Source organism: Homo sapiens, chromosome 4, assembly GCF_000001405.40.
Source record: "Homo sapiens chromosome 4, GRCh38.p14 Primary Assembly".
Lineage (NCBI taxonomy): Eukaryota > Metazoa > Chordata > Mammalia > Primates > Hominidae > Homo > Homo sapiens.
In genome coordinates this window covers 106,135,128-106,160,911 of record NC_000004.12, presented here as the reverse complement: position 1 = coordinate 106,160,911, position 25,784 = coordinate 106,135,128, and the positions used below count along the sequence as shown (strand labels likewise).

Sequence of the window (25,784 nt, the reverse complement as noted above, 5' to 3'; positions counted from 1 at the left end):
TATATATACCACATTTTGTTTATCCATTCATTCATCAGTAGACACTTGGGTTACTCCCACATTTTAGCGATTGTAAACAATGCTGCTATGAACATGGGTGTATAAATATCTCTTCAAGATTCTGGTTTCAGTTCCTTTTGGCATATATCCAAAAGTGGAATTTCAGGATCATATGTTATCTATCTTTAGTTTTTTGAGGAACTGCCATACTGTTTTCTACAGCAGCTGTATCAGTTTACATTTTTACCAACAGTGTGCAAGGGTTGGTTTCAGTTTCTTCTCAAACTTGCGAACACTTTTCTATTTTGATTTTTTTTCTTTTTTTCTTCTTTTTTTTGAATAATAAATGTGCAGTGGAATCTCATTGTAGTTTTGATTTATATTTCCCTGATGATTAGTGATAGTGAGCATCTTTTCATGTACTTCTTAGCCATTTGTATATCTTCTCTGGAGAAATGCCCTATTCAAGGTCTTTTGAGTTGTTTCTTTTTTTGTTGAGTTTTAGGAGTTCTCTATATATTCTCAATATTATTCTCATATTAAATATATGATTTGCAAATATTTCATTCTGTAGGTTGCCATTTTACTCTGTTGAGTGTCTTTTGATGCACAAAATATTTTATTTCACAAAGTTCAATTTGACTGTTTTTTCTCTGTCACCTAGGGCTTTGGTGTCATCTCCTAGAAATCAAGTGCCAACTCCAGTATCATGAAGCTTTTGCCCTATGTTTTCTTCTAAGAGTCTTAAAGTTTTTGGCCATACATTTAAGTCTTTGATTTATTTTGATTTAATTTTTGTATATGTTATTAGGTGAGAGTTCAGCTTCATTCTTTTGCATGGAGATATACAGTTTTTCCAGAAACATCTGCTGAAAAGACTGTTCTTTACCCCACTGAATGGTCTTAGCTACCCTTCTCAGAACTTATTTGACCATATATAGGAGGGTTTATTTCTAGCTCTAGTCTGTTGGTCTATATGTCTGTCTGCCTTTATGCCAGTATCATACTGTTTTATTACAATAGTTTTGAAATAAATTTTGCAATCAGGAAGTCTGAGTCTTCTGGCTTTGTTCTTTCTTTTCAAGATTGTTTTGTCTATTTTAGGTCTCTTGAGATTCCATATGAATTTTGGGATAGGTCTTTCTATTTCTGCTAAAAACATCATTGATACTTTGATAAGAATGTGTTGAATCTGTAGGTGGCTTTGAGTAATATTGATATCTTAACAATATTATATCTTTCAATCCATAAACGTGGCTTGTGTTTTCATTTATTTATGTCTTTCTAAATTTCTTTCAGCATTCTTTTGTTGTTTTCATTGCACAAGTCTTTCACCTCCCTGGTTAATTCCTAAGTATTTTATTCCTTTTGATGCTATTGTAAATCAAATTGTCTTCATTAATTCCTTTTCTGATTGTTCATTGTTAGTATATAGAAATACAACTGATTTTTGTCTATTTTTTTCTGTATCCTGCTACTTTGTTGAATTCCATTATTAGTTCTAACAGTGTTTTGTGTAATGTTTAGGGTATTTTTTAGATATAAGATCACATCATCTGCAAACAGATTATTTACTTCTTACTTTTCAGTGGATGGCTTTTCTTTTTCTTGCCTAATTTCTCCAGCTAGGACTTCCAGTACTATGTTGAAAATACATCCCAAAAGCAGGCATCCTTGTTTATTCATTATGTCAGAGGAAAAGCTCTCAGCCTTTCACCATTGAGCATGTTTTCTGTGGGTTTTTCATATATGACTTTTATTGTGTTGAGGAAGTTTCCTTCTATTCCTAGTTATTAAATGTTTTTATCATGAAACAGTTTGATTTTGTTCTTTTTTTGGTATCAATTTAGATGATCATGTGGTTGTTTTTTTTTTTTCTCTCCATTCTGTTAATGTAATGTATCATATGGATTGATTTTCCTGTGGCGAAACATCCTTGCATTCTAGGAATAAATCCCAATTGATCATGCTGTATAATTTTAATATGCTTTTGAATTCAGTTTGCTACTATTTTGTTGAAGATTGTTGTTTCAATATTCTTAAGGGACATTTGTCTTTAGTATTCCGTTTTTGCAGTGTCTTTGTATGGCTTTGGAATCAGGGTAATGCTGGGCTTACACAATGAGTTAGGAAGTATTCCACCCTCTTCAGCTTTTTAGAAAAGTTTGAGAAGGATTTGTGTTCTTTAGATATTTGGTAGAATTCACCAGTTAAGCCATCAGATCTAGGACTTTTCTTTCTTAGGAGATTTTTTATTACTGATTCAATTTCCCTGCTAGTACTAGATCTAGTTAGATTTTTTAACTCTTTCTGATTTTAGTCTTGGTAAGCTTTGTGTTTCTAAGAACTTAACTACTTCATTTAGGTTAGTAGCTTCATTTTTGACTCCTGCCTTACCTTCCAAATTTAGTCAATCAAAAACTTTTGTTTATTAATCTGTATACTTCTCTCCAATTCTGCTGACAATATTTTACTCATGTTCACCATGATTACAGGCATGTGCTACCACACCCGGCTAATTTTGTATTTTTAGTAGAAGCAGGGTTTTACCATGTTGGCCAGGCTGGTCTCGAACTCCTGACCTCAGGTGATCCACAACCTCCCAAAGTGCTGGGATTATGGGCATGAGCCACCACGCCCGGCCTGTTGTACAATTTTCTGACTGGTCTCTCTGCATCCATTCTCATTTATCTTTAATCCATTTTTCAGACTTCAGCTACCATAATCTTTTTTAATCAAAATGTTTACCAAGACTCTTATTATTATACTGACAATAAAATTCAAACTTCTAACATGGTCTAAAAGTCCCAATGTAATATTTCCCTTGACAACTTTACCAAGATTTTCTGTCAGTATTGTTCCCTCTAATTTTTCTATGCTGTAGCACAGAAATTAGATTTCGTTCAGTTTTAGGTATACCCTATACATACTTCTGCTTTAAGGCCTCTATGTCTGCCTTCATCTTCTCTTTTAACATAAATTCCTAAAGATCAAGAACTGTATCATAGATTCTTAAATGAAATGATAGGGAGGGGGCAAAGTAAGATGGCCAAATTGAAGTCTTCACCGAGCATGTCTTCTGCACAGACACCAATTTAACAACTGTCTACACAAGCAAAGCACCTTCATAAGAACCAAAAACTAGATGAGCACTCACAGTACCTGGTTTTAACTTCATGTCACTGAAAAAGGCACTGAGGAGGGTAGAAACAGTCTTGAATCACCAATACCACCCCTTGCCCACCCCCCAGCAGGAATTGTGACATTGCATTGAACTCAGTGATATCCTGTTACAGCAGAATGCAAAACCAGGCTGCACTTAGCTAATGCCCACCCTCAGAGAAGATATTTAAACCAACTCTAGCCAGAGGGGAATTGCCCATCCCAGTGGTCCAAACTTCAGTTCTGGCAAGCCTTATCACCCTGGGCTAAAGTGTTCTGGGGCTCTAAATAAACTTCAAAGGCAGTGTAGGCCACAAGGACTGCAACTCTTGGGGAGTCCTAGTGCTTAACTTAGATTAAAGTGAGTGGACTAAGGAGGCACGTAACCTGTTGAGACACAGCCAGAGTGGCTAAGAGAGTACTTGCACCACCCCTACCCCAAACCCAGGCTGCACAGCATGGGGCTCCAAAAAAGACACCTTCTTTCCACTTAAGGAGAGGAGGGAGAAGAATAAAGAGGTCTCTGTCTTACATCTTGGAAACCAGCTCATCCACAGTAGGATAGAATACCAGTCAGAGTCATGAATCCCCCTTTCCAGGACCTAGCTCCCAGACATTTCTAGACACACCCTGGGCCAGAAGGGAACCTGCTGCCTTGAAGGGAAGGACTCAGTCCTGGCAGGACCCATCAACTACTGAATAAAGTGCCCTTGGGCCCTGAATAACCAGTAGAAATACCCAGGTAGTATGCCACTCTGAGACTTGCTGGCTTCAGGTGAAACTCAGCACATTACTAGCTATGATGGCTATGGGGAGAGACTATGATTGAGAACATTAGAGGGAAAAGTAAGGGAGCTTTGTCTTACACCTTAGGTACCAACTCAGCCACAGGGAAGTAGAGTACCAAGCAGGCTCTTGTGGCCCCCAATTCCAGGACTTGGCTCTTGGACAGCATTTCTGGACCTGCCGTGGGCCAAAGGGAAACTACACTGAAGAGTGAGTCCCAGGCCAGGCAGCATTCACCACAAGCTCGATGAAGAGCTCCTGGGCCTTAAGAGAACATCAGCAGTAGCCTAGCAATACTCTCCATGGGTTTGTGATGGTGGTCATAGGGTGAGGCCCTTCTGCCTATGGAAAGCAGAGGGAAGAATGGGAAATACTGTGTCTCATGATTTGAGTGCCAGCTTAGCCACAGTACAATAGAACACTAGGCACACTTCTAAGGTTTTTGACATAAGTCCCTGGCTCGCAGATGGCACCTCTGGACCTGCCTGGAGGAACTTCTGCCCTGAAGGGAAGGAAAAACCCTGGCTGGCTTTACCACCTAATGATTGTACAGTCCCAGGACCTTGAGTGAACACAGGCAGTAGCCATGATAGTAGTTATGACAGCAAGCCTTGGGCGAGACCCAGTGCTATGCTGGCTTTCAGTCTGATTCAGTGTGGTACCAGTGGTGGTGGCCACAAAGATGCTTGTGTCACACCACCCCAAGCTCTAGGTGGCTCAGAATAGAGAGAAAGAGGCTCTATTTTTTTTTAGGAGAAAGTAAGGGGAAAGAACAACAGTCTCTGCAGAGAATTCTGGATCTTATCTAAGACCATGAACGCAGTACCTCTACAAGTCTGCAAGAACAATAGTGTTACTGGGTTTGGGGTGTCCGTTAATACAGATATAGCTTAGATCACAACACTCAAGTCTTCTGAGTACCTGAAAAGCCTTGCAGGAAATACAGGTTCAAATTAGCCCAGACTGTGAAGACTACAATAAATACCTAACTCTTCAATGTCCAGACACAGATGAACATCCACACACATTAAGATCATCCAGGAAAGCATGACCTCACTAAATGAACTAAATAAGCCACCAGGGACCAATCCTGGAGAAACGGAGATATGTGACCTTTTAGACTCGAAATTCAAACTAGCTGTTTTAGGAAACTCAAAGAAATTCAAGATGACACAGAGAAGGAATTCAGAATTCTACCAGATAAATTTCATAAGAGATTGAAATAATTAAAGAGAAACAAGCAGGAATTCTATACTTGAAAAAGTGCAATTGGCATACTGAAGAATGCATCACAGTCCTCTAATAGAATGTATCAAGCAGAAGGAGTTAGTGAGCTTGAAGACAGGCCGTTTGAAAATACACAGTCAGAGGAGACAAAAGAGAAAAGAATAAAAAACAATGAAGCATACCTATAGGGTCTAGGAAATAGCTTCAAAAGGTCAAATCTAAGAGTTACTGGACTTAAAGAGGAGAGAGAAACACAGATAGGGATAGAAAGTTATTACCCCTTTGAATAAAAAGGATGTTAATGAGTGATAATTATTACAGAGAACTTCCCAAATGTAGAGAAAGATATCAATATTCAAGTACAAGAAGATTATAGAACATCTAGCACATTTGATTCAAAGAAGACTACCTCAAGGCATTTAATAATTAAACTCTGAAAGGTCAAAGATAAAGAAAGGATCCTAAAAGGATAAAAGAAACAAATAACATACAATGGAACTCTTATATGTCCGGCAGCAGACTTTTCAGTGGAAACCTCACAGGTCATGAGAGAGTGGCATGACATATTTAAAGTGCTGAAAAAAAAAAAAATTTTACCCTAGAATAGTGTATCCTCCAAAAATGTCATTAAAACATGAATGAGAAATAAAACTTCCCAGACAAACAAAAAGTGAAGGATTTCATCAATACCAGACCTATCCTACAAGTGCTAAAGGCAGTACTTCAAACAAAAAGAAAAGACTTTTAATGAGTAATAGATTATCTGAGGGTTAAAAAAAAAAACTCACTAGTAATAGTACACAGAAAAACACAGAATATTATCACACTGTGACTCTGGTGTGTAAACTACTCTTATACTAACTAGGAAGACAAAATGATGACCCAATCACAAATAATGTATTTGCCCATTCTCAAACTGCTATAACTGTAATAAAATACCTGAGACTGGGTAATTTATAAAGAAAAGAAATTTAATTGACTCACAGTTCCACTGTACAGGAAGCAAGGCAGCACCTGTCTGCCTTTGCGGAGGCCTCAAGGAAATTTTTCTCATGGCAGAAGGCAAAGTGATAGCAGGCATCTTACGTGGCAGAAACAGGAATAAGAGAGGGGGGAGATGCTACATACTTTACACAAGAACTCACTATTGCGACGACAACACCAAGGACGGTGGTGTTAAGCCATGAGAAATGACTCCCATGATCCAATCACCTCTCACCAGGCCCCACATCCAATATTGAGAATTACAATTTGACATGAGATTTGGGTGGAGAGACATGTCCAAATCATGTCAAATAATAACTACAACAACATTTCAAGACATTGACAGTACTTTAAGATATAAACAGGAAAAACAAAAAGCTAAAAAGTAGGGGAACTAAGTGTAGAGTTTTAATTTTCTTTTTGCTTGTTCATTTGTTCTATGCAAACAGTGTTAATATTATCAGCTTAAAATAATGGATTATAATATATTATTTGAAAGCCTCATGGTAACGTCAAATCAAAAAACACACCACAGATACATAAAAAATAAAAAGAAATTAAATCATATCACAATAGAAAATCCCCTTCACTAAAAGGAAGACAGGAAGGAAGGAAAGAAGGAAGAGAATATCTCAAAACAACCAGAAATCAAATAACAAAATGGCAGGGGTAAGTTCTTATCAATAATACTGAAAGTAAATGGAATAAACTCCTTAATGAAAAGATATAGAATGGTTGAATGGATTAAAAAAGCAAGACCTAATGATCTGTTTGTTACCTACAAGAAACACACTTCACCTATAAAGACACATGTTGACTAAAAATAAGGGGATGGAAAAAGATATTGCATGCCAATGGAAACCAAAAAAGAGCTGGAGTAGCTATATTTACATCAGACAAAATAGAATTCAAGGAAAAAAAAAACTCTAAGAAGAGACGAAGAAAGTCATTATATAATGGTAAATGGGTCAGTTCAGCAAGAGGATATATAAGCAGTGTAAACATATATGAATTCAGTACTGGAGTACCCAACTTATTAGCACTAAAGAGAGAGATGGAACCCATACAATAAAACCTGGAGACTTCAACACTCTTGTTTCAGCACTGGATACATCTTCCAGACAGAAAATCATCAAAGAAGCATTGAACTTAACCTGCATTATAGACCAAATGGACCAAATTTACAGAACATTTCATTCAACAGCCACAGAATACATATTAATTTCCTCATCACATGGATTATTCTGAGATAGACCATATGTTCTCTATCCAGAGATAGACCATATGTTTAAGACAAAGCAAATCTTAAAACATTCAGAAAATCGAAATAATATCAAGCATGTTCTCTGACCACATGGAATAAAACTAGAAATCAATTACAAGAGAAATTTATGCAAACACATGGAAATTAAACAGCATGCTCTTCAATGACTAGTAGGTCAATGAAGAAATCAAGAAGGAAATTGAAAATTATTTGGAAATGAATTATAATGGCGACACAACATAAAACCTATGAAGTACAGCAAAAACAGTACTGAGGGAAGTTAATAGCTATAAGTGCCTACATCAAAAAAGAAGAAAAACATCAAATAAATAACCTAATGATGCATCTTAAAGAATTAGTAAAATGAGCAAACCAAACCCAAAATTACTAGAAGAAAAGAATAAGGAAAAGAGCAAAAATAAATTAATTTGAAATGAAGAAAACAGTACAGAAGATCAATGAAACAAAGAGTTGGTTTTTTTGAAAAGTTAAACAAAATTAACAAATGTTTAGCCAGACTAACCAAAAAACGAGAAGATCCAAATAAACAGAGATTTAAAAGGAGACATTACTACTGTTATTGCAGAAATTCAAAGGATTAGCAGCTGCTGCGAGCAACTATATGCCAATAAATTGGAAAATCTAGAAGAGGTGGACAAATGCCTAGATACATACAACCTACCAAGATTGAACCATGATGAAGTCCAAAATCTGAATAGATCAACAACAAGTAATGAGAGTGAAGCCATAATAAAAATTCTACCAGCAAAGAAATGACAGGACCCAGTGGCCTCACGTCTTAATTCTATCAAACATTTAAAGAGAACGTGTACCAATTCTATTCAGACTATTCTGAAAAATAGTGGAGGGAAGATTTCCAAACTTATTCTATGAGGCCAGTATTACCCTGATACCAAAACCAGATAAACACAAATCAAAAAAAGAAAACTGTAGGCCAATATTACAGATGAATGTTGATGCAAAAATTCTCAAAAAAAATTTAGCAAACCAAATTTAACAACACATTGAAAAGATCATTCATCATGACCAAGTGGGATTTATCCCTGGAATGTAACGATGGTTCAATATATGCAAATCAATTAATGTGTTATGTCATATCAATAGAATAAGGTACAAAAACCATATGAACATTTCAATTGATACTGGAAACACATTTGATAAAATTTAACATCTTTTTATGATTAAAAAACCCTCACAAAACTGGGTTTAGAAGGAACATACCTCAGGACAATAAAAACCATACATGACGGACCATAATGAGCATGATGTTGAATGGGGAAAAACTGAAAGCCTTTCCTCTAAGATCAAGAATGTAACAAGCATGGCCCACTTTAACTACTGTTATTCATCACACTACTGGAAGTACTAGCCAGAGCAATTAGACAAAGAGAAAAATAAAGGGCATCTAGATTAGAAAGAAAGAAGTCAAATTATCCTTGTTTGAAGATGACATGATCTTTTATTTGGAAAAACCTAAAGACTCCATAAAAAACAGTATTAGAAGTGATAAATTCAGCAAAGTTGCAGGGTAAAAAGCAACATATATAAAAATCAGAAGCATTTTTATATGCTAACCACAAACAATCTGAAGAAGAAACCAGGAAAGTAATCCCACTTACAATAGCTACAAATAAAACAAAATACTTAGGAATTAACCAAAGAAGTGAAAGACCTCTACAGTGAAAACTATGAAACATTAATACAAGAAATTGAAGAGGATACAAAAAAAGGAAAGAGATTCCATGTTCATGGGTTGAAAAAATTAATATTGTTAAGATGTCCATGCAACGCAAAACAATCTACAGATTTAATGCAATCCCTATTAAAATGCTGATGGCATTCTTCACAGAAATAGAAGAAACAATTCTAAAATTGTTTAGAATTGGTTGTTATATGCAACCACAAAAGACCATAAAGAAGAATGACATTCTGTCATTTGCGACAACACAGATGGAACTGGAGGACATTATTTTCAATAAAATAAGTCAAGCACAAAAAGACAGACTTTGTGTGTTCTCACTTATTTGTGGGTGATAAAAATTAAAATAAATTGAACTCATGGATATAGAGAGTACAAGGATTGTTACCAGAGGCTGGGAAGGGTAGTGGGGGTGGGGTGTGTGTTGAGAATTGGGAATGGTTAATTGGTACAAAAAAATAGTTCAAAAGAATGAATAAGACCTAGTATTTGCTGGTGCACAGGGTGATTATAATCAAAAGTAATGTAATTGTACATTTTAAAATAACTAGAAGTGTATAATTAGATTTTTTGTAACACAAAGGATAAATGCTTGAGATGATGGACTCCCATTAACCTGGATGGAATTATTATTATGCATTGCATGCTTATATCAAAATATCTCATGTAATGCATAAATATATTTACGTACTATGGACTCACAAAAATTAAAAAATGAAAAATAAAAAATAAAAGTTTTGAAAAGCAAACATACATACATAAAAACCTACCTTTCTTTCTTCACTGGTAACTTATGGGTGCATTAAGGAAAGGACTGTTCTTATCATTGGACCCTCAGAGCTTAATTCAAAGCTCTGAGAAATAGTATGTTCTCAATATATTTGTATTTATTTGATGTAGTTACTACAAAAAAGGTTATACTAGTGTTAACTCTCATTTCAACAAAGCATTCAGTTAATTTAGTCACAGTTCCTTATTCATCAACTATGCTAGCTCTTTCTACTTTGTCTTCATGGCATGGATTATAATTACATACTTATCTTTGTGTTTCTTTTATCATTTATTCCACATCCAGGCACAGGGGAGAGATTGGATCTTGTTCACCCCTGTACCCCCAGTGCTTATCTTAGCCCCTAGCATATAGTTGGTATTGAATAATTTTTTTAGTGAATTAACAGAAAGTTCATTCCAGCTAATGTTTTACTCTATTTTCTGTAAAGCAATGTATCTGAAAAATGGTCCTCAAAAATCTTCTATAATAGTTGTTGAAAGTGCATTTTTAGGACTCGATGCACACATCATATCTACTAAATCAGTGATTGAGGGGTATCTCCTGTAACTTATGTTTTTACTAAAGTCCCTATGTGTTGCTTAACAACATGTGCATACAGGGTTCTCACAACTCATATCTTTGTAACTAAACAAATGATTATTCATATGGGGGAAAATATCTCAATAAGGCATTCATATTTGTGATCATAGTGTTATTTTTGTGCTTTTGTGTGTATTTTTATACTAGTCTACTTGTTTTATTGTTATTATTCTAACCTTTTGCCGCAAGTTAACTTTTTCTTCATGAACAAAAGCAACAGCCCTTTTCACTATTCAACAATCTCAGCCTACTCACTCTCTAAGCCTCTCTTTTTATTTTTACTGCCAAAGGGCAACTCTCTTTTAATTCTGTCTCCCTGACTCCCCCACTCTTCTTACGCCATTTTGTGAAAGCAGTTTCTAAACAGGAACAACAGAATTTCTAAAGTCATTCATGTGGAAATAAATTAGAGTGAGAAATCTATCCAGGACTCAAAAAAGTTACATTCCCTGCTTTATGTTTTCTTTCTTGAAATCAGTAAAAGGTAAACCCATTACTTCAACTTAGAAGATATGCAGTAAAGGCACACTTGAGTTTGTTTTGCTTCTCATCACTGCACTTTCACTGTTATTGCTGTTTTATACAAATTAAAAGTTGGTAGTACCCTTGTATCATGCAAGTCTAATGGAGCCATTTTTCTAACAATATGTGCCCACTTTGTGTCTTTGTGTCATACTTTGGTAATTCTTGCAATATTTCAAACTTTTTCATTATTATTATATCTGTTACGGTGATCTGTGATCAGTGCTCTTTGATGTTGCTATTGTACTTGTTTTGGTGCACCACAAACGGAGCCCATTTAAAATGGCAAACTTAAGTGATAAATATGTGCGTTCTCATTGCTCCCCCAACCAGCCATTCCTCCATTTTTCTCCCTCTTCATGTGTCTCCCTATTCCTTGAGAAACAAAGATATTGAAATTAGATCAATTAGTAGCCCTATAATGGACTCAAAGTGTTCAAGTGAAAGGAAGAATCACACATCTCTTACTTTAAATCAAAAGCTAGAAATGATTAAGCTTAGTGAGGAAGGCATGTCAAAAGCCAAGATAGCCCAAAAGCTAGACTTCTTCTACCAGTTAGGCAAATTGTGATGCAAAGGAAAAATTCTTAAAGGAAATTAAAAATGCTACTCGAGTGAACAACAGATGATAAGAAAGCAAAGCAGACTTCCTGCTGATATGGAGAAAGTTTTAGTGGTCTGGATAGAAGATTGAGTCAGCCACAACATTCCCTTAAGCCAAAGCCTAATCCAGAGCAAAGCCCTAACTCTCTTTGGTTCTGTAAGGCCATGAGAGATCAGGAAGGTACAGAAGAAAAGTTGGAAGCTAGCAGAGGTTGGTTCATAAGATTTAAGAAAAGAACTGTCTTCAAAACGTAAAAGTACAGGGTGAAGCAGCAAGTACTGGTGGAGAAGCTGAAGGAAGTAATCCCAAAATCTAGCAACTATACAGCAGATTTTCAATGTAGACGAAGCAGCCTTCAGTTGGAAGAAGATACCATCTAGGGCTTTCATAGCTAGAGAGAAGAGATCAATGCCTGGCTTCAAGGCTTCAAAGCTTCAAAAGATAGGCTGACTCTCCTGTTAGGGGCTGATATAGATGGTGACTTTCAGTTGAAGCTAATACTCATTGACCATTCCAAAATCCTAGGGCTCTTAAGAATTATACTAAATCTACTCTGCCTGTGTTCTATAAATGGAACAACCAAGTCTGGATGACAGCACACCTGTTTACAGTGTGGTTTACTAAATATTTTAAGCTCACTATTTAGACCTACTGCTCAGGGAAAAAGATTTCTTTCAAAATATTACTGCTCATTATAACAGTGCACCTCATCACCCAAGAGCTCTGATGGATATGTACAGGAAAATAAATATTGTCTTCATGAATGATAACATAATATATTGGGGAACCTGCCCTGATAGTCATGTAGGTTCTTTTCTATTTTCCCTAAGCGTCAGCTGGTTTGAGAAATAAAGGGACAGAGTACAAAAGAGAGAAATTTTAAAGCTGGGCATCCGGGGGAGACATCACATGTCGATAGGTTCCGTGATGCCCCACAAGCCGCAAAACCAGCAAGTTTTTATTAGGGACTTTCAAAAGGGGAGGGAGTGTGCGAATAGGTGTGGGTCACAGAGATCACGTACTCCACAAGGTAATAGAATATCACAAGGCAAATGGAGGCAGGGTGAGATCACAGGACCACAGGACTGGGGTGAAATTAAAATTGCTAATGAAGTTTCGGGCACCATTGTCATTGATAACATCTTATCAGGAGACAGGTTTTGAGAGCAACTGGTCTGACCAAAATTTATTAGGTGGGAATTTCCTCTTGCTAATATGCCTGGGAGCGCTATGGGAGACTGGGGTATATTTCACCCCTACAGCCTCGACCATAGAAGATGGCCACGCCCAGGGGGGCCAGTTCAGAGGCCCACCCCCAGGCGCATGTTCTCTTTCCCAGGGATGTTCCTTGCTGAGAAAAAGAATTCAGCAATATTTCTCCCATTTGCTTTTGAAAGAAGAGAAATATGACTCTGTTCTGCCTGGCTCACTGGTGGTCAGAGTTTAAGGTTATCTCTCTTGTTTCCTAAACATTGCTGTTATCCTGTTCTTTTTTCAAGGTGCCCAGATTTCATATTGTTTAAACACACATGCTCTACAATTTATGCAGTTAATGCAATTATCACAGGGTCCTGAGGGGACATACATCCTCCTCGGCTTATGAGATGACAGGATTAAGAGATTAAAGTAAAGACAGGCATAGGAAATCACAAGGGTACTGATTGGGGAAGTGATAAGTGTCCATGAAATCTTCACAATTTATGTTTAGAGATTGCAGTAAAGACAGGCATAAGAAATTTTGAAAGTATTAATTTGGGGAACTAATAAATGTCCATGAAATCTTCACAATCCACGTTCTTCTGCCATGGCTTCAGCCGGTCCCTCTGTTTGGGGTCCCTGACTTCCCGCAACAATAATATCCATTCTCCAGTGCATGGATGAAGCAATCATTTCAACTTTCAAGTCTTACTTTTTAAGAAATACATTTTGTAAGGCCATAGCTGCCATAGATAGTGACTTCTCTGATCAATCTGGGCAAAGTAAATTGAAATCCCCTGGAAAGGATCCACCATTCTAGATGCCTTTCAGAACAGTTGTGATTCATGGAAGGAGATCACAATATCAATATGAAAAGGTGTTTGTAAGAAGTTGATTCCAACCCTCATTGATAACTTTGAGGAGTTCAAGACTTCACTGAGGTAGTGATTGCAGATGTGGTAGAAATAGAGAACTAGAATTAGAACTGGAATGTGAGATGTGACTGAGTAGCTGTAATCTCATGGTAAAACTTGAATGGATGAGGAGTTGCTTCTTAAGAATGAGCAAAAAAAGTTTCTTAGAATGGAATCTACTCCTGGTACAGATGCTGTGAGCATTGTTGGAATGATAACAATGCATTTAGAATATTATGTAAACTTATTTGATAAAGCAACAGCAAGGTTTGAGAGGAGTGAATATGGAGAGAAGTTCTTTTGTGGGTGAAATGCTATCAAATGGCATTGCATGCTACAGAGAAATCTTTTGTGAAAGGAAGAGTCCATTGATGCAGCAAACTTCACTGTTGTCTTATTTTAAGAAGCTGCCGTAGCCACAGCCACCTCAGCCTTCAGCAACCATTACTTTGATTAGTTAAAAGTCCTCAACATTGAGGCAAGACCGTCCACCAGCAAAAAGATTATGACTTGCTGGGGGCTTAGATGACCGTTAGCATATTTTAGCAATAAAGTATTTTTTAACTATTATTTTAGGTTTGGGGATACATGTGAAGATTTGTTACATAGATAAACACGTGTCACAGGGGTTTATACATATTATTACATCACCCAGGTATTGAGCTCAGTACCCAATAGTTACCTTTTTTGTTCTTCTCTCTCTTTCCACTCTCCCTCCTCAAGTAGACCCCAGTGTCTGTTTCCTTCTTTGTGTTCATATGTTCTTATCATTTAGCTCCCACTTATAAGAGAACATGCAGTATTTGGTTTTCTGTTTCTGCATTAGTTTGCTGAGGATAATAGCCTTCAGCTCCATCCATGTTCCCATAAAAGACATGATCTCATTCTTTTTTGTGGCTGCATAGTATTCCATGTATATGTATATGTATTACATGTATATGTATATGTATATGTATTACATGTATATGTATATGTACCACATTTTCTTTATCCAGTCTGTCATTGATGGGCACTTAGGCTGATTCTAGGTCTTTGCTATTATGAACAGTGCTGCAGTGAACATTTGCATGCATGTGTCTTTATGGTAGAACGATTTATATTCTTCTGGGTATATACTCAGTAATGGGATGGCTGGGTTGAATGGGAGCTCTGCTTTTAGCTCTTTGAGGAATCACCCTACTGCTTTCCACAATGGTTGGACTCATTTTTACTCCCACAAACAGTGTGTAAGTGTTCCCTTTTCTCTACAACCTTGCCAGCATCTGTTTTTTTGACTTTTTAGTAATCGCCATTCTGACTGGTGTGAGATGGTATCTCATTGTGGTTTTGATTTGCATTTCTCTAATGATCAGTGATATTAAGATTTGCTTCATATGCTTATTGGCTACATATGTGTCTTGTTTTGAAAAATATCTGTTCATGTCTATAAGGAACTTAAACAAATTTACAAGAGAAAAACAACCCCATTAAAAAAGTGGGCAAAGGACATGAACAGACACTTCTCAAGAGAAGACATACATTATCTTCTTCTAGATCATGTTTTCGCACATCTAATAGATTATAGTATAAACAACTTCTATATGTACTGGGAAATCAAAAAAATTAAGTCCCTAATTTTACTGCAATATTCACTTTTTTGTCATGGTTTAGGACTGAACCCTCCATATCTCCAAGGTAGGCTTGTTGTAATTACATGGTGTTAATATGTGAATATGTGTGAGCATGAGTATAAACACAGTTGTTATATGCCATGGAAAGCACCACAAATTGAAATGTTCTTTCTCCTGAAAACTTAAAAATATGAACAAGTTTTTTTGTTTTGTTTTGTGGTGTTGCTGTTTCTGAGATGGAGTCTCACTGTCTCACCAGGCTGGAGTGCAGTGGTGTGATCTTGGCTCACTGCAACCTCCACCTCCTGGGTTCAAGCAATTCTCCTGCCTCAGCCTCACAAGTAGCTGGGACTACAGGCTCACGCGACCACTCCCAGCTAATTTTTGTCTTTTTAGTAGAGACGAGGTTTCACCATGTTGGCCAGGATGGTCTCAATCTCTTGATTTCCTGATCTGCCCCCCTAGGCCTCCCAAAGTGCTGGGATTACAGGCATAAGCCACCGCACCTGGCCTTTTTTTTTTTTTTTTTGACACGGAGTTTCACTCTTGTTGCCCAGGCTGGAGTGCAGTAGCGATCTCAGCTCCCTGCAACCTCCGCCTCCCAGTTCAAGCGATTTTCCTGCCTCAGCCACCTGAGTAGCTGGGATTATGGGCGTATACCACCATGCCTGGCTAATTTTGTATTTTTAGTAGAGACGGGGTTTCTCCATGATGGTCAGGCTGGTCTCGAACTCCCAACCTCAGGTGATCCACCTGTCTCGGTCTCCCAAAGTGCTGGGATTACAGGCGTGAGCCACCATGCCCAGCCCAAAAAAATATGAACAAGTTAGAGGAGAAATGTAAAGAAGCAAGAGAAAATATTGCTTGAGATTAAGGAAAAGCCAAAAGAAAGATAATCATTTTTTTAAAAAGAACAGACTTACTTTTCCTTTTGTCCCTCTCATAATTTTAAAAGAATTTTGACTTAAGTTTTATTCATTCAGCATTTATTGTACACCTACCATGTGCCAGGCACTTTTCAACACTTCAGCTTGTGAAGGGCTTTGCAATTACAGAGAGGTCTTCAGAGACCCCATTTCATAGTAGCATGGACTGCATCTTTTCCAATTACCTTGGTAATTGAGGGTACATGAGGAGAGGTGTCTGGGAACATATCCTCAATTCAGACAAAGGAGAATAAGTTGAGCAATGCCCCTGCCATGCCCCCTACAACTGTGCTGTTTATTTTCCAGACTCAACTTACTCAACTTTTATTCGAAACAGAGCTCTTCAATTTACAGTTAACAAGATTTTTATCATTTTATATCAATTTCCTTTCCCACAGTATATCAGTTCCAAATTTGGGACATAATTTAATTCAAACACCAGAAAGTAAAGGCAGGATTTTTAAAAAATGTATTAGATTGTTTGGAAGGGTATACTAAGTCAATAGTTGTCTGAAATCCTTTATGGAAAGAGGCAGAGTATAAATAAGTAAGTGTAACACAGTAACTTAAGGATAAGTCTCTATTTCCTGGTCCAGAAACTGTTAATTAGCGATGCATGGTTACCATTTCTTTTACTCAGTGATTCTTCATATGTTAGGTTGGTGCAAGAGTAATTGCGGGTTTTGCCTTTACTTTTTTTTTTTTTTTTTAGACAGAGTTTCGCTCTTGTTGCCCGGGATGAAGTGCAATGGCACAGTCTCGGCTCACTGCAACCTCTGCCTCCTGGGTTCAAGCGATTCTCCTGCCTCAGCCTCCCGAATAGCTGGGATTGCAGGTGTGCACCACCATGCCCGGCTAATTTTGTATTTTTAGTAGAGACGAGCTTTCACCATGTTGGTCAAGCTGGTCATGAACTCCTGACCTCAGGTGGTCCGCCCGCCTTGGCCTCCCAAAGTGCTGGGATTACAGGGGTGAGCCACGGCACCCGGCCTGCCTTTACTTTTAATGACAAAGACTGCAGTCCCTCTTGCACCAACCTAAATATTTCTGATTTTAAAAATCAAATTTTTTTTCACTGCAGCAGTCTGAAGCTTAGAAAATAGAAAATTTACATGGTAATTTGCCACTATATTTAAAGACATTTACTATTTTCCTTTTTTGTGACATTATCTTCGGGAAATCATAATTTGTACTCGTATAGTAAAAATGTTTTCTTCCTCTAAGTTATAGAAATCTCTGGGTTTTCTCATCCTAAATCATCAAATGAGTAAATGCCACTTTTCTCAATGTAGAAATTGAAGTATGCACAAGTGTCTTCTGAATTGAGCAGTGCCCTGTAAGCACAACAAGTGAAAAAGGGGCAGGAAAAACACCCAGAGCCAGATAAGAGTTGCACTAGAGTATTTCTAGAATATATTGTATTGAGGAAGATTTGGGGTTTTTTGGTGGGTTGTGGGGAAGAAAAGAAAGAGATATTTAGAAATTTGGGGTAGAAGAATGTTGGGATGGATTTCTTGATGAGAAACACAAAAGAAGAAAATAAATATGAATTATTGTTATCGTTGGTAAAAATAACATTGTCATGATATAGGATATAGTATTTCACTTAGGATTGTCCCAAGCTAGTAGCTGAACTGATTTGAAACAAAGGCACGCTTCCTACAGACATCAGGGCTATGCCTTGACACAGTATTAACATATTCACATTGCAGTTGCTAGGAAGGTTATGCTGGTGACAGTTTTTATTTCTTTGCAGCCTGACTTAACTCAGTATTGATTTGAGACAGCTCCTGTAGTGATGTTTTTCCACCAGAAAGTCTATAGAATATATTTTCTTCATGAAGAGTGATGGGCACAGATAGGGTAATTCTAACTTGCTAATGAAGATCTGGGGTCTTGCACTGAGATCTTCCTTATGCAGCCTTAAAGTTCAAGGATGTCATTTCATGTATCTCTGACATCCTTGGCATTTAAAGAGAAATGGATTTTGGCACAATTCTACGGAAAGGCTAGCAACAACAGACACAGTTGTTATATAAAGGATTCAGTGAGTCTACTGATTTTAAAATCCTAGTATGTAAATGCCCTGTTTATTCCAGCCCTTCTCTCAGGATTTCCTATAAAATGTGCAAAATAAATAGGCCATGTTATATGAGATTCAAAAATTACATATAAACTTACTGCTAAAAATTCAGTTTGTCAACCTGCTTTGTACAGGTGCTAACACAGAATTTAATAAAGCAAGGTACATAATGAAAAAGGAAAAAGAAGCTTTTATCTGCAGCATTGTCACATCTGTTAGAGAATTACTGCTAAATGTTGTTTCATCCTTTGTTCTCCAAACCAAAAATGAGCAACTTAAAAACCCTGCTAAACTGAAGTTTTTCCAAAATACATCTATCTGAATTATAGATTATTGTTTAGATATCCTACAGAAATTAACTAGAACACTTAGCAAAGCGAAGCTAAATAGTCCTGACAGATTTGACTTAATTAACAAATTTTAAACTTTTATACTTATCAAATGGATATTTGAATTAGTTAATAAAAATAATCTTTATTTTCTTGGATAACCCATTGATTCTAAATATGGTTTTATGATAAACTAGATTCCCACATGTATTTTGCTATTTCTTTGTCCTTTTTTCGGTTAAAATGATATTTCTTAGTTTATTACTTTTCTAGTACCAAGAGTTAAGATTATAATTATACCATGTGTTTGGTGCTGTGTTTCTACATAAATTGTAGAATTAGCTTTCTTTTTTCTTTATCCCTTGGGAAAAATTATTTTAGTATTGTGATTGAATTAAACTTATAGCTAAATGAAGAAAATTAACCTATGGCATGATTATTTTTTCCAAAAACAGGGTATGTCTTTCCATTTAAGGTCCTCCTTTTTAGGATCCTCTGTGGAATTTTAAGGTTTTCTAGATAATTCTTTTCAGGGTTATTACTAGATATTTTAGCCTTTTGTTGTTATTATTGGGATATCTTATTTCATTACATTTTATTTGATTGTTTTTGATACATAGAAAGATTGTTGATTTCACCAACAGTTTGATATAGTGATTAAGGACATAGACTCTTAAACTTTTGAATCACAGCACTGCCACACCAGCTGTGTAACCTTGAACAATTCTCTTGACTTTTCTGTGCCTGTTTCCTTGTTCATAAAATGGTGATAATAATATTATATACTTCAGAGGATTATTGGGAGGATTGAGTTAATATATGGAGAATATTTATATATACTGCTGGTATATATAAATACTCTGCAAGTTTTCACCATTACCATTATTACTTTTTATCAGCCATATTACTGTTCTCTCATTATTTGTAATTATTTTTCATTTGATTCAAATTTTCTATTTATCATCTACAAATTATAATTTTACCTTTTTCAATTTTATACATCTTATATCTTTCTATTATTTAATTGCTTCACCTTTTTCTCTAGAACAATATTAAATAACAATGGTAATGGTGGACATCTTTATCTTACACTTACATTAAATGGCAGTGTTTCTATTGTTTTGCTGTCTTTTTGCTTGAGAGATAAATTTTATTATGTCATAAAAGTATCATGCATTCTGATTTCTTGAGAGTTTTATCATATATCTTATCAACACACTGTCTGGTATTCAATAGGAACTAAATATAAGCCATGACTATGGATTACTGAGCTTTGCCATTTTAGACTATTTTGATTTTAGAGCCAGCTTTAAATCTAGGCTCTGTCCTAATTTCTATTTATGTGGAGGGCCTTGATCCTATCAGAAACTACCAAACTTTCGGTTTAAGTCAAGGGTATATTTAAAGTCTCTGATCACCACTGGGTGGAGATATTACAGAAATTCATAGAATGAGCAATCCTGTGATTTGAGAGGGAATTAGAAAAAAAAAAAATTTAACTAGACTTGAAAAACAATGAAACCTTACTGAAAATTTTTCAGCCAAAGTTAAATAATAAATTTCAGTTAAATTTAAAACTAAGACATTATTTGTACCTGGATTGTTTGGAAAGGTGATTGTTGTTTCTAGTGATACACAATAATAAGTACTCTTAAATTTTCTTTCTTGAGAGGCTAGTACCAACTTGTGGCTTTATATTCCCATTTGTCATTTGTTGGTTAATTCTTGATTATATGTAGTTTTTTTTATTTGTAGCATTATTACCATTTCAATTAAAGTAGCCTCATGTGTTTTAACCAATAAATTTATCATCTGGTTTTGCAATAGAATAGCTATTTTATTTTATTTATATGAAAAATGCCTGTAAACACATTCAAATATCTCTGGCAATGTGGCCAGAAATGCAAAAGAACTTAAACTTTTTTTAAATAAAATATATGTGTTGAAATGTATCTGTACATTTTATAGACACTATAGTATTTTAAAGATTTACTTCACCACAATAAATATTGCCCATAACTCCATTTATCAAATACTTTTTCTTGTCTTAGATTACCTTTTATTGCATATTAAAGTAAACCAACAGGAAGATATGAAGACCTTTTTTAATTTAACAACTGTAAAATTGAATATATCTACAATAAATATTATTGTAATTCATCTATTACAATTCATCTATTATATACATCTATTACAATTCACTTATTATATAGCTGATAATTTTAATTCATTATAACTGCTATTATATTTAACAGGCTTTTTGTACATAAAATAATTTGTTATATTTTCTTGTAGAAATCCTGTACTTGTTCATGCCCAATTTGTGTTTCAGAATGTAGAACTTTATTCAGAGCTTAAATGAATAATTAGCTTACCCCTGAGATGCTTTTATTTTCAATAAGAAAATATGAAAAAATGTGTACCAACCAATTTAATGTTATAGAAAGGAACCATTCAAATTTATGAGTTCATATTCCATAATATATGTCATACTATTACAAACTCAAAGTACATCTCTATGATCTCTGGTTTTAAGGTTGGCTGTGGCATGTACATAACCTTTCTGATCTCATAAAAATCAGAATTTTTTCTCCTATTTAAAAGAAGTTTGCAGTATTCACAGCTAAACACATTGTAGACATTGATGCTTCTGTAGCTATATTCTTGTAAGAATCATCTGGGATGATTTGTGGTGTGTTAAAATAAATGATTAAAGATTAGAGACAGCTGAATACTCTTCCTTCTCATTTAAAATGTTAAACAGTCTTTTGTGTTTATTGCTGAAACTTTTGAATTTTCCTTTATTTGGGACATCTTAATTGCATTCAAATGTAAATGGTTGGCTGATGCATGATATTAGCTGAATATTTCCCAGAAATCAATCATGGCAATAACAGTTAATATCACAAGTACTTTAGAGACCTTGTTTACCTTGTATTTGGCACAGCAGTGAGAATGAAGAGAGGCAGATCTCCAGACTTTCTTCCTCAGGGAATAAGTGTCTGGCCAGAGAGTATTTTGATCATTTAGTTGACATCCTTTGGTTATCTAGTGAGGAGAGTGATGTGGGGGCAAGGAGAATATTCCAAGTGACAAGGAGGACCAGAGCAAAAATGCTAGCACTAATCACTTTAGTATACAAGGAAGAGGATAAGGGTGAGAGTGAAGGGTAATATAGTCAGCAGCCCAATTCAAGATTGTACCTTGGAAAATTAGAGTTTGAGATGAAAACATCAGTTCTACTAACTAAATTACTGTGACCTCTTGTCACCAGCTGACTCTACTCACTGAAACTCCAGATCAGTATTGCCATTGAAACTTGACCATAACGGTGCTGTGTGAATAGCATCTCTATCACATTTCAGAAGAAAATTATCAAAAGTTCTACCTTCAGAAGTTATCCAGCTAAGTAGGGCTGCTCTCATTAACTTTTTCATATTGTTCACCTGAGTGTAGGAAACTTACCTGGTTCTGGTTTTATTTTAAATAATTATTTCTGGATATTAATAGAAACGTATATCCTAGTAGCAAAGCAACACCAACACCAACACCACCCTACATTGCCACTTTGACCCTGTTTTTGCCTTATAAGTCAGTGACACTAGAGTTCTTCACTTACTGTAACCTCTTCCACTTAAACTGTATGAAATATTTCCCAATTATTTGTCTTTTCAAATAAACAAGTTCTTATTGATCTAAGATTATATAAGCATGCCATGTTCATGAACAACACTTAACTGAGTCTCATAATTAGAATCACTTCTGAATCTCCTTAAATAGAAACTCCAGTGGAGTCATTAAGTATTATGTATTGGTTTTTAACTTTTGTCTCAGAAAGTAAGCAAGAGTTTTGGGACCTTTTGCCAGTTGAATATAAATTTAAAAAATAAGGTAATAGAATTATATACTTAATAGAAAATACAGTCATGCAGCACATAACAACATTTCAGTCAACAACGGATTACATACATGACCGTGGTCCCATGAGATTATGATAGAGCATATACAGAAACCTGATATATAGCAATTGATACTGGCATTACAGATCAACTAGAGGAAATAATTGATATTCAGTAATGGTTCTGCGACATTTGGTTTTCCATATTAAAAAATACATGAAATAAGTATATATGCCATCTTTGTTTGTGTAAATACACCCTATGATGTTTGCACAACACACTTGCCTAATGACACATTTCTTAGAACATATTCCCTTTGTTAAGCAACACATGACTGTACAAATACTGTCTACTCCTGCCCATCATTTGAGAAAACTGAGGCCCAGAGAGATAAAATGTCTCCAGAATGATACCGTATAGCAAAGAAAAAATTACTCTCTTTACAGAAGCTTAGCTTGTACACAATTTTTCCAGAGTACATCTGTGAACGTTTTAGCATAAAGTCTCTAATCACTGAAAAAAAAAATCTGTCTCTACTTTTCTTTATATTTCATATTCATGTATGTTGTCTCTCTTCTGTTTGAGGGGAGGAGATTCTCTCTAGTGTGAGAGCTATACTATGCAGCTTTCAGAGTATGATAGTTATTTCAAACTCCACATCAGATGCTGTATTTCTAAATTTTATGAATAGAAACCTCTTCCTATTTAAAACTAAGAGGGAGAAATGAAAACTTGAAAATGTCACTGAAACAATTTATTGTTTTAAATATATGGATCAAAATGATATTTGTAGATTGATAGTTTTTGAAGGTAACTTTTCTTGTTAAAATTCCTTTGAGAGTGATAGTCTGTGCCATTTACAAAGCCTGTACCCCCTCTTGCATGAGCTTGAAATACCTACCACTATGAAATTAGAGTCTGTTTATTGTAAACATTTGGAAAAATGAGAATTGATTAATATTACCCTAAAAATCTCAAATTTATGTTTTTACAAGTCTTATTAATATTATACAATTTAAGATTTTTCTCAGCATTATATAGATTGCCTGCCAAAATTGAGATATTTGTCAATTTTTTTTCTTTTTTCTTTAAATTGTTTATCCTTTCTCATAACCTAAACTGCAATTTCTATGCTGATCATTCCAAGAATATGATATTCTAACCATGACTTCTTCCAGATGCCACTTTTTATCTCTAACCACATCTTTGACAGTGACAAGTGTCACTGTACCATCTCAGTTTCACATATCTAGATTTAAACATATCTTCCCTTTATCTGCCATCTGTCACTGTTAATATCTTTTTTTCTAATCAACCATGTTCAAAACTTAAGAGCCATTATTCACTCATCCTTGACCTTTAACTCCTGTATATTTTCTCTTTCTGTATTTTCCTATACAGGCTCTCATACATCTATCTTTCTTTCTTTATCATTTCATTAATCTAACCAATTTTACTGAATAGCTACTGAGTTCCAGGCTCTCTGCTGGGCAATGGAGGTATGAAAACAGGAGCTCATGGTATATTGAAAGAGACCAGTGGCAGTGATTTATAGAGTAGGGGCTATAAACCTGAGAAACTTTGATTGGCTATTTGTGAACTAAGCTTCAGGAAATTAGGATTCAAATTAAAATAGGATGCTGACTGAACTTTCTGCATCATTCATACCAGGTTAAGTTGGTGGGGGAGGGGGAGAATAAAAAGACTTTAAATGAGAGGATTTCTTCAGCATACCTCCTAAAGGTAGAACCAGTGCCTTAGAAATAGAATCGAAGTACCTTCCCAATTTCACACAGAATACTATACTTGAAAACCCCCAGTTATTTATACGGCAAACTCCTATTCATCCTTTCAATCTCCACTGAAATATTACCTTTTCAAAGAAGCGTTCCCCAGTTTTCCACTTCTTTTCTGGCCAAATGAACTACTCCTCCTGTATCATGACAGAAACCAAGTTGCAGTGAGTTCAGGAGACAATGGTAAGGAGAAAATAGAGATGAGAAGGAGGTAGAGAGGTAGTAGCTTGGGAGTGATTCACTCCTTGAAGAGTAGTTTTATTATTTATTGTTTTAATTTACCTTCTGTTTACTGTAGATGGATGGAATTGCATGTATTTATAGACCAAGGAAAAATAACAGAAAAGGAAAAATAACAGTAAAGGAAAAACTGAATAAAAAAAGGAGATAAAGAATTGAGCAAAGCTCTCGATTACCAATGCCATCACTTAATCTAGATATTAATAAAATACACTTTCTAGCAAGTCTTTCTCCCTTTAATTTTTCCCATTTCTATTTCATTCTTGGAAAAACAGCCAAATTAATATTCCTAAGATACTGTTATTACTATGTGACACATTCCTCGAAAAATCCTGCAGTACATATCTGTAAGTTTGATCTATATCCTCAGACTTCTCTGTCTTTCAGAGATCTCATAATCTGGCACTTGTCTACCTATTCAATACTATTTTCTCTGATTCTCAGGATGGATGGTCAATTCAGTGAGACTAGTCTCTCCATTGTCATTTTTACACCCATTGACTTTAACTTTTATAAGAACAAGTATCTTTGTTTTGTTAATTGAAATATCCCAAGTACCGTGAGTGGTACCTAATAGGTATTCAGTAACTATTTATCAAATTTTTCTGCGCTCCTCCAGAGCTTTTATAGTAACCCACTTCTACAACAGTCTTCCTTCTCTTTTCTTCTTTTCCAAACCCTACTTGGTTTTCCTTACTCAAGTGCCACTTACTCCACCAATATATTACTAACTACTTCTGCCCATATTGTGTTTCACTCTTTCCCTGAGTTCTCATAGTATGCACCTTTGGTTCCATACATGGAATCTTACAAGAGAGGCAGGGTAGTGATGTGGTTAAGTGTACATTCTCCAGAGCCAGACTGACCAAATTTGAATCCTGATTCTGTTACTGTTATATTGCCTTTGGCAGGTTTTTACCTTCTCTGCACCTGAATTTCCTTATCTATAATATGAATAAAATAATAGAACCTCCCTCAGGATTATTGTAAGACTTAAATGAGTAAGTAAATGTATACAAGTATACATTTATTATATATAAAATATCTATATATTTTCTATTATTATTGTATAGTTTTATTACTAATTCATTCCTGTTAGTCTTGCCTTCCCAACTGGATTGTGGAGTCTTTGAGGTAGAAATGATATTT

General features: G+C 35.5%; 1 protein-coding gene across 17 annotated transcripts in view; it reads left to right on the top strand.

Annotated features, from left to right (window-relative positions):
- The window catches only part of TBCK (TBC1 domain containing kinase), a 275,085-nt gene that overhangs the window by 155,772 nt on the left and 93,529 nt on the right, over window positions 1-25,784 (top strand). The gene's annotated exons all lie outside the window — the stretch shown is intronic.